The sequence below is a fragment of the Homo sapiens genome, chromosome 14 (assembly GCF_000001405.40).
Source record: "Homo sapiens chromosome 14, GRCh38.p14 Primary Assembly".
Taxonomy (NCBI): Eukaryota; Metazoa; Chordata; class Mammalia; order Primates; family Hominidae; genus Homo; species Homo sapiens.
The window spans coordinates 51,084,690-51,098,307 of NC_000014.9; the positions used below are offsets into that span (position 1 = coordinate 51,084,690).

Genomic DNA, 13,618 nt, shown 5'->3' on the forward strand with positions numbered 1-13,618 from the left:
TAAGTGACACCATTTTATTAGTTTTATGAATTGATGCACTTCATGATTGCATAAATATCAGCAGTGCTAGGTAATGGACTATATATATCTAGTAAAGTCAGCTGTTGATTTTTGTTTGCACTGATGAAAAGAAACTAAAGTACAGACAATCAAAAGAGGTAGATTATGTCATAGAGTAATTTGGCTTTGGATGAGCTGGGCTTACAGTTGAGCCTGTGTATATTTGACCATCCAAGATTTTGCCCTCTACAAAATCACAAAGCCTGTTATAAAGACCTGCTCTAGACAGAAAGTGTTTAATTCCCTATATTGCCATTTACTCCTCTCTGCAACCTGCTTTGTTCAGAGACTAATAATGCCTTAGACTGATAGACAGCGCAGGCCAGAACAGTGTTATTCTCTCAGGCTCTCCTGGAGCATGGGAGTAAGTGATGAATATTTGGTGCCACACAGTTACTTCTTAAAGTGCAGGCTGCAAGCAAAGTAAGAGTAAGAGGAGATGAGCAAAAACCTCAATAAAACTGACTGATGCTACCCAGCTAGAAAGTCAGTGTCACATGAATAAATCAGCGGTGGATGAGAATTAACCATCTACATGTACTCCTGACAGAAGGTGGCTATTCCCGCACCAAAGAATAATGTTTAGCATTCTATTTCCAAAGCCAGCTCTTTAAAAGGGACAGTTTCTTCTTTGATCAGAACTGTTAGTATAAAACACGCAGTTCTGCTTCTATGCAAGGCTATGAAAAACAGTTTTATTTGGCAGTGTTTAAATCCATTCTTAAACGATATCCTCCTCGGTTCACATATTCCTTTTTATATGGTGAAAGGTGGATCAGCTTTCTATTCTGAACTGGAATACGCATATTTTCTTTTAACCACATAGGCAAAAGGTACAAGAAAAAACTGAAAGTAAACAGATACTTGCTTACAGATTTAAACATGTTTTGTGTTTTCAAAAATGGACTTATAAATGTTTAGATGTGTAGAAATAAAGATACTTAAAATGCCTATGGATTTTTATTTTTAAAATCTACTTATTAGTTTATGGTTTTTTTGGTCTGTAATTATTAAAATCTACTTATTAGTTTATGGTTTTTATGTCTGTAAATTTTGGGATGCATTATTTTGTTAGAAGAGAGACAATGCTCCATGGTTGAGCTGGTAAAATCTTACTGTCTATTTGTTACTTAGTTCTGACAGAGAAGCAGGATGAACCCCATCTCTGTCAGGTAAGGTAATTATATAGGTAAGGTAATTAGGCCTATACCTCCGATGATCTGGTCTGTGGAATATTCAACATACTTGTCACCTCTTTCCTCATGCACCACAATTTCTTTTCTAAATTTATTTTGTCACAAGGAATCTTAGGAGAAAAATGACTCAATTTCTCAGTAATTTTCATATACGAGAACTAAAGGAGTCCAGCTATTTGTTATGTCATTGAAGTTTGTAAGTTCATAAAACTGTGCTTTATAGGTATGCTTCCTGGGCTTATCAGAAAGTAGAACAGAACAGCAGTTAAACATGTGAGTTGTAGAGTCAGACAGCCAGGATTCAAACTCTGACCCTGCCAATTACAACGGGTGTGACTTCATAATCTTCCTGTGTTCCAGTTTTCTCACAGGAAGATGTGTGGATTATGAAGATTAAATGAGAAAATGCTGTAAAAATCTTTAGAGCAGTGCCTGCATGTAGTAAGTGCCCAGTACATTTTAGCAAAAAGTATAAAATACAGGCTTTCAAATTTAATGATTACTGTCAGGCTAATTTGAGAAATTTAAAATACCGGGTTATATTGCTAGTTATTAGTCTTCCTCTACTGATTATTTTCTTCATTGAACCAACCTTTATCTAACTTCTACTAAGTACAGAAACGGAGTAAAAGAAGATAGATAAGAAACAGTCTATGGAATTGAGTTATTAGGGTTCAGTGGAAGATTTCTCACAGAAGCAATTATAATACAGTGGGAGGATGCTCAGGGTTAGAATACAGATATGGACGCTATGGAGGAGGGTGAGCTGAACAGGTGACAGGGCTGGGAAGAGAGTCTGGGACCAAACTGTGAAGAGGAAGGGGACTGAAATGACCAGATCTGTTTCAGACAATCAGGTACAAGCAGGAATTGAAACCACGGAGTGGATGAGTTTCTTGAGACAGGCGTGTTGAGGAGGGGGGAAAAGTAAATGATGTTTATTTATTCATGACTAGACACTCAAAAAAAGTTTTCTTGCTTTTGCAGCTTAAAATGAATCAGCCAAAATGAAGAAAACTCCCTCTCTACAGTTATTTAATAAAAAAGTGTCTGCAATTAAACACAGCTGGGGTGGGGGGAGGTGGCGGGCACTGCTGGTGCAGGTGTAACTCTGGTAGGTGGGGTAGCAGCATCAGGTTCCCGGTTGGCAGGCTGGTCTGGTCCACAGCTGTGGAGGCTGACTCATCTCAACTGGGTGTGGCCAGGTTAGTTGGTCTGGTGATCTGAAGGTTTGGTCTAAGAAACTGGGGGAGGGCAAGCGTAGTGGACAGGAAGGGAGGGGCTCTATGGAGAAAGTCAGAGGGTGTCAAGGAGAAGATAGCTAAGCAGGCAGATGGGATTGTGACTAGACCCATGGCCAACATGCTGCACTTTAGGCCTGGATAGTTTAAAAAGAAGGCAAAACCAGGGCCAAACAAAAGTGAAATGATGTCATGATGATTTCCCTGACACAGATGCAGTTAGAAAAAAGAAAACCTGCTGTTAGATATATTTTGCTTAGGTTTCTTGGGTAATCTCACTTGGAGTTAGGTCTCAGTTTAGGATAGGGGCCCAGTTTAGGGTTGTGAGAACACCCCAGGGGAATGATCTTGGCTTTGAGATGTCCTTTGGGCTGAATTAGATATGCTGCTTAACAAAACCTAGATGGTCTCTGATAGTGTAGGTACACTGTGGTGGCCATTTTATAGATAACTCTTGTTCTAAGGTTAAAAATTGACCCAAAATGTCAATATAAAAATATTAGCAAAACCTGGAATGCATTAAACAAGCATTTACTTCATAAGTTGTTATGCTATGTTGTCCCCAGAGCAATATTAAAGTTTTAAGCTTTTCATATTGTCTTTTTCTGCTCATCAAAAGTATCTTTAAAACAATCTATTTTTGTATACCACAGATTAATGAAAAACTCAATTAGACCAGTCATTTGGTATCATGTATACAAAACCTAAAAGTAGTCTAAAGTAGAATGAAGTGGTGGTTTTTAAAATTATATTACATTAATATTCCTCATGCCTAAAATCATTTTTTGAGTTATTTACAATAGAAAGGGGGACAACATGTATTCCAGTCCATACATATAAATACTACAAAACTTATGTTAATTATTTTTACCTCTTTGACTTTTAATGTTTAAAAAATAAAATAAATTTAACTTTTAACATTTGCTTTAAGAATTAATGCAAGATTTAAGATTTAAGGATAGGTTTGCTGCAGGCATAGTTTTAGGTATTCTAATCTACATAGACAAGAAATGAATAACAATTACTTACTAACTTATTCACTAATAACTACCTGAACTAGTGTTCTCCAAACTTGTGTGGCACTCTAACAGAGTTTCCAAAGTTAGACAAATTTGGAAAATGCTACATTGAATCAAGTGGCTTTGTTTGTTGCAGGATGTGTATACATAGGCATATTGATACAATATACAATGTGAACTACCTGCAGCCTGTTCAGAATGGAGAGTCTCAAACTTATTTAACTATGGAAAACTCGTGGGAGCAGAGTTTGAGAAATGCTGACCTAGAGTATAGATAAAACAAAAAGAATTGTGGAGTGCTCATACATATCTTCAGAGGTTTTCTTGCCTTTGAAAACAAACAAATCAATTATTGGCAGAAGTTCGATTTCAGGACCTCCCTGTCTGGCCTAATGTTCTTAAAAGTGTCATCACTACATACATGGAGTAATTTCGAGTTGGTAAAAAAAAAAAAAAATCTCTTCGGCCTCTTTGTGAAAAACCTCACAATAAAAATAACTGAAGAAAATAACCAAAAGGCTAATAAAAGCTACCTAGTGGTGAATGGGTAGATAACATTGAATATGATATGATTTCTGCTTCATTGAATCAAAAACCGCCCCTCTATTTGTATTTATGGCATCAGAATGCAGCCTTCTAAACACAATATTCTAAAGACAATATCTAGGATGAATAAAAATTAGAATCTTAAAGTATTTACATGTGTTAATTCATATGCTTTTGTAAGTCAGGACTTCTTGGTTGCAAGTGGCAGGAAACCAACACAAACAAGCTAAAGCAAAGAAAAAAAAAAAAAGACTCTCAGTGGACACTGACATGAATAAGTAAGAAATTAGATGCCATTATAATTCACTGAGATTCGAAGATTTGTTACTGGAGCATAGTCCAACCTGACTGATGCTGAGAGTGAACTTAGTTTCTAGCTTTATAGTTCCATTCTCCTTGTGAGTTGATTTTATTTCACTTCCCATGAAATCCTCTGAGATCACCTAAGTGGGTTTCTGATCCTTTCAATGAATAATCCCTGATAAAACTGATAAACAAATGATATTTATTTATAACTATTTGATTCTTAAACATTTATCTTGTTATAGGTTCTTCTATCCTTCTGTAGGCCAAAGTTAAGTTGTATGTGTATATACACTTTGAAAAGTCCACCAACTTGTTTAGGTGAGGAAAGTGCAATTTATCATACTGATGGTAAGGACAAATGTTCCCTGTACATTATTTTCATTACACAAGAACAGATGGCTGTGATAATTGTCTCTTACTTTATGCAAACTGTGATTTGACCTGAAACTCCAATTAATAGCATCTTTTCATGGCATATACAGGAGAAACAATTTCTGCTACTTCAAACTGGTAACAATATCTTTATTGGAGAATCTGAAAAAAACGGAGCCTTATCAGCTATTTCAGCTTACTTAGAGAAAAACAGAATACTTTTGTTTAATATATAAATCTTTGTATAGTATTCTTATTTCTTGAGCTTAATTCAACTGAATATTCTCTCTGGACCCATGAGGAAGAGTCTCACTCTTTTAGGCCACCTTTCAGAGCAGCTTTGGACTGTACCCTATGCTCTGAAAAGGATCCAGAAAAGTACCCCAAGTTGGGGGATGAGATTTTTACGCAGTAATTGTTGACTGGTGAGACATTGACTCTGTTTGACATGAATGTTTATGGTTGTGTTGAACTGAAATTAGTAAATTATAAACATTTAATTTACCTTATCAAAATCCTTTCACAATTGTAATTTTAACTCCCTTATATCTTTGTAGGTGGGAAGTACAGACAGGTGATGATACTTGCAAAAAGTTTCCTGCAAGTAAGTGGCAGCATTGGTTCTATAACCTGGATCTCCTGTTATCTAGTTCTTTCCATTATGCCTGGGTACAAAGAGGAATAACTGTCTTCTCTGTAACATTTTCCTTAATATCTGTAAAAATGTTTACATGGCACACAGAATGTTCTAATTGTACTAGAAGTAAATCAAAAGAAATGTAAAAACATGAACATATGCTGCCTGTTACATTTACCACAGGAATATATAGACTATATTGTGTTTACTGCTGACATATAGTTAACTGAATATCATTTTAGTGGCATTATATAACACATTTTGCTACATAAATATTTAATGAGATGCCACCATAAAGCTAAGCAGATATTTTTCTCCAGGATATTTTAGAATTGAAGGCATATTAACTGACAGTTTATTTTAAAATATTGTTTAAATTGCAAATTTTCATTTATAAAAACAAAGGTAAGAGAAAAATAACATTTGAGACAAGATTAAGAATGAATAGTGTTTAGAATAGAAAGGAAAAGAAAATCTTTGCTCAGTAGCATGAACACAGAATAATTGTTACAAATATGTTACTGATTCAGTGACTTCATTTTTTTATTTTGAGACAGTCTTGCATCGTCACCCAGGCTACAGTGCAGTGGTGAGATCCTGGCTCACTGCAACCTCTGCCTCCCAGGTTCAAGCAATTCTCCTGCCTCAGCCACCCAAGTAGCTGGAACTACAAGGCATGCACCACCATGCCCAGCTAATTTTTGATTTTTCAGTAGAAATGGAGTCTCAACATGCTGGTCAGGCTGGTCTTAAATCCTGGCCGCAAGAGATCTGACCGCCTCGGCCTCCCAAAGTGCTGGGATTACAGGCATAATCCAGTGCACCCAGCCCTGATTCAGTGACTATTGAAACCCCAGGAATTCAAGGATAATATCAGGATTTAGGAATGTGAACTGCTTAAAATCACAAAGTAATAGTAGTGGTTTCTATTGCCCATTTTAAAGTATCTACAAAATCACTTTTTTGGTGTTATAATTCTTTTAACAAGTACGTTGAATAAAGGAATATAGTTAAGTACTGGCACTAAATAAAAACTGCTACCAAATATTTGACTTATAAGACCATTATTATTATTATTATTATTCATGTGTTATTATTTTTCATGGAGTTTTGAAGACCAAAAATATCTGAAAAACATTTTAATCTGGCCAGTTGAAAACTAGTGAATTTCAACCAGATGTTTTTAATACCACTTTAAAAATAAACTGCAGCCATTTTATTATATCTTGAGTGTGTAAGATGATGATTTATGCCTGTGGGAAATACTTATCTGCAGGACTTGCTTTATCAGTAGAAATGACTAATATGATAGAATATGAATGACAACTTTTCAGGTCTAGTAATAACCTGTGTTGATAACTAACTGCCCAATTTTGGAAACCTAGTTAGTATAGTTCTTTGCTGTCCTATTTTTGCAGGGCATAGAAATTCTGGCCCATGGGCTTTTGTGGAGATAGAAGTACCATTAACTAAAACATAAACTATATGAGAAAACTGGCTGCTAACACATTAACTTCCTTATTAAGTAAATAAGGTGGGGGAGTAATGTTTGTTGTTCATCTAACAGATGACAAGTGAATGTTAAAATCTGTCATCCTTCTGTCTTATTTTTTTTCTTGGCAGTTTAGTAATCCTCATATTGACTGAACAAAAATTATGTGTCCTTACTGTTTTGGAAAAAATGTGCAAAAGATCAGAGAATAAATGGTCTTCTAGCCTACTTATGTCATGTTTCAAGGGTTTTAACATTCTTTTGTGGCAGGTAGATATCTAAATCTCAACCCAGGCAGCACCAGTGTCTGTCTACTCATAATTTCTATTGCCAATAAAACAAATGATTTAACATTTCAAATTGACATGGGGCTTGACAGAGATTTAAAGGTTTCTTTTGGTCTTAATAGATCAAGGATAGGCTTGTCATAAAAAAAATAATAATGTTGTGGTTTACCCATCCTAATTACCTTGTGGCTCTAAATTCTTTTTCCTGACAGAGTGATTAATTTTTTAGTTCCAAGGATACTTTGTAGGGCAATTCAACATGGACTATAATTAGCAGTTTAAAAGTGAAATCAAAATATGAATAAAAAACTAGCTGTGAACTCAAGTTTTGAAAACTTTCAAAATTAAATGTCATTTTCAAAAATTTAAATTCGACTGTTCTGAAAACAGTGGTGTGTGCCCAGTTAGGCTTCAATTTGTGCTAAATGAAATCCCCATCAGTACTAATATGATTTAATAGGTTATATGTGAGAATAGAATGACTGTAAACATGGATCACATTCAACCGGGTTAAGGAGTTGAGAAAACTTTCACTGATTGCTGAAAATTAATGACATTTTTTTCTTGCTGTAAACAAAATATCAATGTTCCAGCCTTAACTCCACAGTTGGCCACTTGCAAAAGCTACCCTTTCTAGTCTCCAAGGAATTCTGGGAGACTCTGAGCAAGGCCACAGCTGAGGCCTGGACACTATCTTCACTGCTCCATCTCATCCTTGGGTATGCAACTCAGTGATGTAAAGAAAAGCTCCTTCCAACCATCCTGAATCCCTGCCCTGCACTCCACAGCCCCAACTAAATGGATCATTTAAAAAATGAAAAGCAAATTCATGCACATCTCCTCAAGAGTTGCTCCCTTCCTTCTAAGCAGTGTGGGCATATTATAAGGATCTTCTTCCTCATGAGGCTTATTTCGTTTATGTCTGTGTGTGTACAGGGAGCAATAGATAAATACAAAAAATAACATAATTAAAATATATAGCATGCCACACAGGGATAAATACTACTGAGGAAAATAAAGCTGAGAGGGAACTAGCGGGTGTCTGGGTGGGTGGCGCTGCAAAGATGATACCTGAGCAAAGAGCTGAAGGATGCAGGTAAGTGACCCATTCGGATCTCAGGTAACTGGGGAAGAGAGCTTCAGGCTGAATGAACACCAAATGCAAAGGCCCTGGAGTAGGGAGGTGCCTGGCGTCGTTTGAGGAACAGTAAGAAGCAGTGTGGCTGGAGCAGAGGGAGTAAGTGGGAGGCAATGAGGTCGAAGGGGCCAAAATGGAAGAGGTCATGTAGGACAGGCTGAGAAGCGTGGGAAAAATTGGAGGGTTTTGAGCAGAGGAGTGGCACGACAGAATATGTTGCTAAAGCCTCTTCGTGTCTAGCCATGGTGGAAATATCATCAAAAGAGACTGGAAAGATAAATCTGGTAACAGGTGTCCCAAAGTTTGCACATATAACTACTGAAAGAGGAAAGGGCTTGAATTCCGGAGAAGTGGGTGTGTGTATAGTTGGGAGGAGAAGGTTTCCCTAGGAGATGCACCTGTCTGGCTTCCAGGCCGCGACTGCGCAAACTCCGGTCCTGACACTCTAGTCTCAGGTCCCAACTCCGGAAGGGTTCAGGCCCAAGCCTGCACGTCGCGTTGCCATGGCGACCGCTGGCTGCCCTCTCCGCTCTGTCTTTTGAGCACGTGGCACCAGGACCCCGCGTTCTCTCCAGCTCGAGAGCCAGGTCTGGCCCAGAGCCGGGCTCATCAGTATTCCGCCTGCGGCGTCTCCCCGACCCTCCGCCGTGCCTCACCAGGTCCGCCTATCCAGCAGCGACAGACTCCCGCCGTCCGCGCGACCCCACCGCCCCCATCCCAGTCCCTCCCCGAGGGTTCGCAGCCCGCCCTGCCCTCGAGCGTGCCTAGCGGCCCTGGGCACTGGCGCGGCTCTACCCAGCTATGCAGTGCTTTCCCACACACTGGCCGCGGCCACTGGCTGCAGACCCGCCGCGGAAAGGGGGCGCCCTGAGTCCCGCTCGCAGGCAGCGCGCCCCGAGAGACCCGCTCTAAGGCATCCCCGCAACAACTCTGTGGGGGCATTCAACTCCCCCGTGCGCCGGTTAAGATTCCCCCATGCCTCCTGCAATGCACCAGACCAGGGAGGTAAACATCGAAGGCACCTGCATTGCGCCCCCACTGGGATGCGCTGTGCGCAAGAGACGGGGACCGTCTGCTGCAAAACCGGATGATCGGAGACGCAGGGAGTTAGGAGTGGGTTTTCTTAGGACTCACCTTATGTAGTTTCCACATGGCCCCCAGAGCCTTGACTTCGTGGCTGGAGTGTTTGCCCTCCTCCAAGCACTGGTAGCACACGGGCATCTTGCATTGCACGCAGTACATGCTGTGGTTCTCCAGCTCGTGGTCTGTGCAGGTGGAGACCTTGCGTGGGCTCAGCCTCCGGCTCACACGACCCTGGGCCGGGGGCACCAGGCGGTGCTTGGCTAGGGGCCCCCGGGGCGGGTGGCAGCGCAGGCGGCACGGATCGCAGTAGAAGACATCGCACTGTTCGCACATGACGGTGGCTTCCTTGGGCGCCTTCTCGCAGAGCTGGCACTTGAGGGCCGCGGCTTTGCTCTGCTGGTAGCGGTCAATTACCCCTTCCAGTACGCGATTCTTGGGGAAGCCGCGGAGCCCCCGGTCATCCAGGATGAGGCTGCGGTGACACTGGGGGCAGGTGATACAGGAGTTGCGGGGCACCGGGGCCAGGGCCGGTGACAAGTGGGTGGCCGGTGGCGGCATAGCCGGGGGAAACACGCGGACGCCGTTGGGGGACTTCTGGCACGGGGTAGTGGGGGCGCTGGCGAACCCCCCGTAGGAGCCATAGCCGCTGTCCGCCTCGCTGTATAGGCTCATCTTGTCCAGGTCCAGATAGTCATAGTCGGAGACCCCGGAGCCCGCGGCCCGATGGCTCTGGGGGGATTCAGACTCTGGGGTCTGCACCAGGATGTTGCGGGCGCACGCCTGACACAAATTGTGAGAGCAGGGCAGGATGATGGGCTCCCGATAGAAGGAGCCGCACACGGGGCATTTCAACTCCTCTTCCATCTCCTCCATGGGGACCGGTCTGGGAGGAGACAGCGACGGCTGCAGCGGGTGCCTGAGCTGGCGAGGTGGCCGACGGGCCCGTCTTGTCCAGCACCCTGGCCAGCGGCGGCGGCTGTGGTGGTGGTGCCTTCCCGCGCAGCACTGGCACGGACACCCAGAGAGGCGCTAGCTCTGTGAGCCGCAGCCGCGTAGCCGCCGCGCCGCGCGCCAGCCCGGACCGCCCCTACCTGCCCTCCTAGTCCCGCCCCGGCCCATGAGCAGCGGCCCATTGGGCGGGGGGCAAGAGATCGAAGCTCTCATTGGCCACCAGACCCGTCCGTCTCCTCGTCTCCGCAGGCCACAGGGGGTTCGGTAGAGTCTGAGGATAGGGCAGTCTTCGCTCGCGGCTGCAAGATCTCTGAAGGGGGCCGGCGTGCGGAGGCTAGGGGACCGGGAAGGAGGAGTTAGGCGGGATGATTCATCCTCGCCCGGCTTACTTCCGACCTCCGGTGCAGTCTCCCAGGAGCTGGGGGCGTGAGAAACCCCTCCCCGCAGCGAGTGGGCTGCCGGAGGGGGCTGGGGCTTCTCGCCAGCGTTTGCGTTTGGCTCCCAGCTCTGAGCTCCGCGCCCACCTACCGCGGGCGAGTGCTGCGCAGCACGGAGGACGCCCCTTCTCTTCCGCTGCTGGCAGCCTTCGCAGGCGTCTCACCCGGGCCTAGGCTTCTGCACGGCAGTGGGGCTTTTCTCCTTCTCCGTGAATCCGCTGACGCCGTGCCCTGGAGCTCCCCCATCCCGGGAGTCTGACGGCGCTGGCGCAAGCCCTGGCGACACTCTTGGCTTCTTTCATCCTGCGTCCCTCGTTTCCTAAAGAGCATGTATAAAGTCGATTTCCTAGTGTCGACATGAGATTCAACTGGGTAACCGATGGAAATGGTCAGCATTAGTCAGAATCTATGACCCCTTCGTTTCATGCTTTAAATTATAGCTCGGCCCAGAGGCCTCAGTGCCGTGGTGTGAACGTGCTTCCTTCCACGGATCCTTCTTCCTCCTCGCGGCCTCCCAAAGCACCTGGCTGAGCTTTTTCGAGGCCCGCTGGGCCTTTGGTTCGGTTGAGGCAAGAACAGTTTGTCTATTTCTGAGTGCCCGTAGTTTAGTAAAGCTCTGTAAATGAATCACTGTGTGACTGCGGAGTCTCAGTGTTTCACTCCAAACAGCATTATTCAACCCCACGTGCCCTGGGCATCTGCCATAGCTTACAGCATCGTGTGCCTTTCTGTTTCTTCCAACGAGGGGCATGGTGAGGCGGTGATTCTAGTGTTAGTCCCTGTACAAGGAGGGAGGGAGGGAGGGAAGAAGGGAAAGAGGGAGAGAGGGAGGAAGGAAGGGGGGGGGAAAGGAAAGGCGGAAGGAAGGGAAGAAAGGGAGGGAGGAAGAAGAAAAGGAAAGGAAAATCTTTGAGTCAAGTGACATTCTGAGGTAGTAACATTTGAAATAGTACATAGCCGGCTTTTGCTGAATGATTCATGAAGTAAAGGACAAAAACTCTTTGCAAGTTCTAGAAATATTCCAATTTTCCACCTTCCAGACAGGAGATAACTTGATTATATGCAGCTATGTTGATAATTTAAAAGTACTTTATTGTCCAGAAAAAAAATGGACATTTTATTACACTGCCCTTGTAGAAATTGTCCAATAAACTAGGTTATCTTTTCAACATCTTTAGTTGCAGTGAGAACAGTAGTTGATCATTGTGTGGGGGAATAAAGTCCCCATTGTTATTTAAAGCCATGTTAATCATAAATGTGACGTGATTTATTTTTAAGCTGGCTTTCAACTAGTTGAGACCAGAGCATCCAAAGGTATATGCACTCTGTTTACAGACATAGATAAAATTTCTTCAGGTATGGTTGGGACATTAGCTGCACTTGCAGGATACACTTAATTTATAGGTCCCAAGAGAAATTACTAATAATTATATTCAATATAGTATTAATTGAATTGTAATGAAAGTTAATTATTGAGAAAATATTAGAAAGGAGTGTCCTTTTATGGCTTTTGTATGCATTTGACCACAAGTCACAATATCTTGGACCAGCAAGGTGAGCAGCTGTTACACTTTGTATGAGTTTGAACTCTGCTTATAATAGTATATCATCTAAGAGATCTTATTAGCAGAAAGTTTATGCTTAGTTCAAAGTAAAGAAGAATTTTAGAGGATGTCTCATGGTGTAATGCAGTGTTGGGTTCGCAAAAAGAACAACACAGGTTTATAATATAGTCAATATAGAAAGATTTGGTCTATTATGAAGTCGCTTGAGATGATTTCATTGTTAGATCTGTTTGTTTAGGAATTAGCTAAATCAGTCAATCCTAGGAGAGCTCTTAAAATGACTCATTTGTTGAGAGTTCACCCTGTTCCAAACAGGGGATTTATTTATTTGTATACATTACTTGGTTAAATCCCTGTAATTACAAGAAGAGGTAGGCACAATTATTCCCATTTTACAGATAAATAAACTGAAGATAAGCAAAGACACTTAAGTACTCAAGGTCAAATATGGTGAGGCTGGGATTGGAACCCGGACACATATAAGTTTGTTCCTTTGTTCATTCATTCATTCATTCATTCATTCAACAAGTGCTGAGTTCTACTCTCTTCAAGCTCTGAATGTGATAAGTACCCAAAATGTTCTTTGTTAACTTCTATGATATTCTGCTCACCTTCTCTGAAAGTTTACTTTTTTTTTCCTTTTTTTTTTTTGAGACTGGAGTCTTGCTGTGTTCCCCAGGCTGGAGTGCAGTGGCACAATCTTGGCCCACTGCAACCTCCACCTCCCAGGTTTAAGTGTTTCTCGTGCCTCAGCCTCCTGAGTAGTTGGGACTACAGGTGTGCACCACCATGCCTGGCTAATTTTTACATTTTTTTTTTTTAGTAGAGACAGGGTTTCACTATGTTGGCCAGACTGGTCTCAAACTCCTGACCTCAAGTGATCCACCTGCCTCAGCCTCCCGAAGTGCTGGGATTACACGCATGAGCCAGCGCTCCCAGCCAAAAGTTTACTATTTTTCTTTGAATCCATTTCTTTAAAATATTCTTGAAGGCCTTTGAAGATTTTCCCCTCATGTTGCACTGTTTGGCCATAATGTGCTTTATAGCCCCCCAATGACTTATGTTTAAAAGGGAATAAAAATTGAAATGTAATTGGTAATATTATAGAAATATTATACTATTGAGGGGATATCTTCTGTCTTCCAGCTGGTGATCAGTCCATGCCCTGAAGCACAAGGATTGATAGCCCTGTAATTTCATCATTCCTGGGATGATTGCAGATGTTCTCTTTTGTGTAAAGTGCCTAATTATCCTTTGAAACTTACTATTCACCCAAATTATGTTCTTT

General features: G+C 42.4%; 1 protein-coding gene across 39 annotated transcripts in view, besides 1 other annotated feature; it reads right to left on the reverse strand.

Annotated features, from left to right (window-relative positions):
* TRIM9 (tripartite motif containing 9) overlaps positions 1 to 10,416 on the reverse strand; it is a 119,840-nt gene extending 109,424 nt beyond the window's left edge. For all 39 annotated transcript variants that reach the window (NR_170652.1, NR_170646.1, NR_170642.1 and 36 more), the window contains exon 1: positions 9,429 to 10,416. Coding sequence is in view for 26 of the 39 variants with exons in the window: in NM_001387378.1 (NP_001374307.1) it covers positions 9,429 to 10,250 (822 nt within the window). In the remaining 13 variants the exon portion in view is untranslated. The remainder of the gene's footprint in view (positions 1 to 9,428) is intronic.
* Positions 10,408 to 10,477: a silencer, noted in NCBI's record as "silent region_5735". NCBI's record gives its function as "represses an Ori minimal core promoter by ATAC-STARR-seq in GM12878 lymphoblastoid cells {active_cell/tissue: GM12878}" and the evidence as "EXISTENCE:reporter gene assay evidence [ECO:0000049][PMID:35858748]".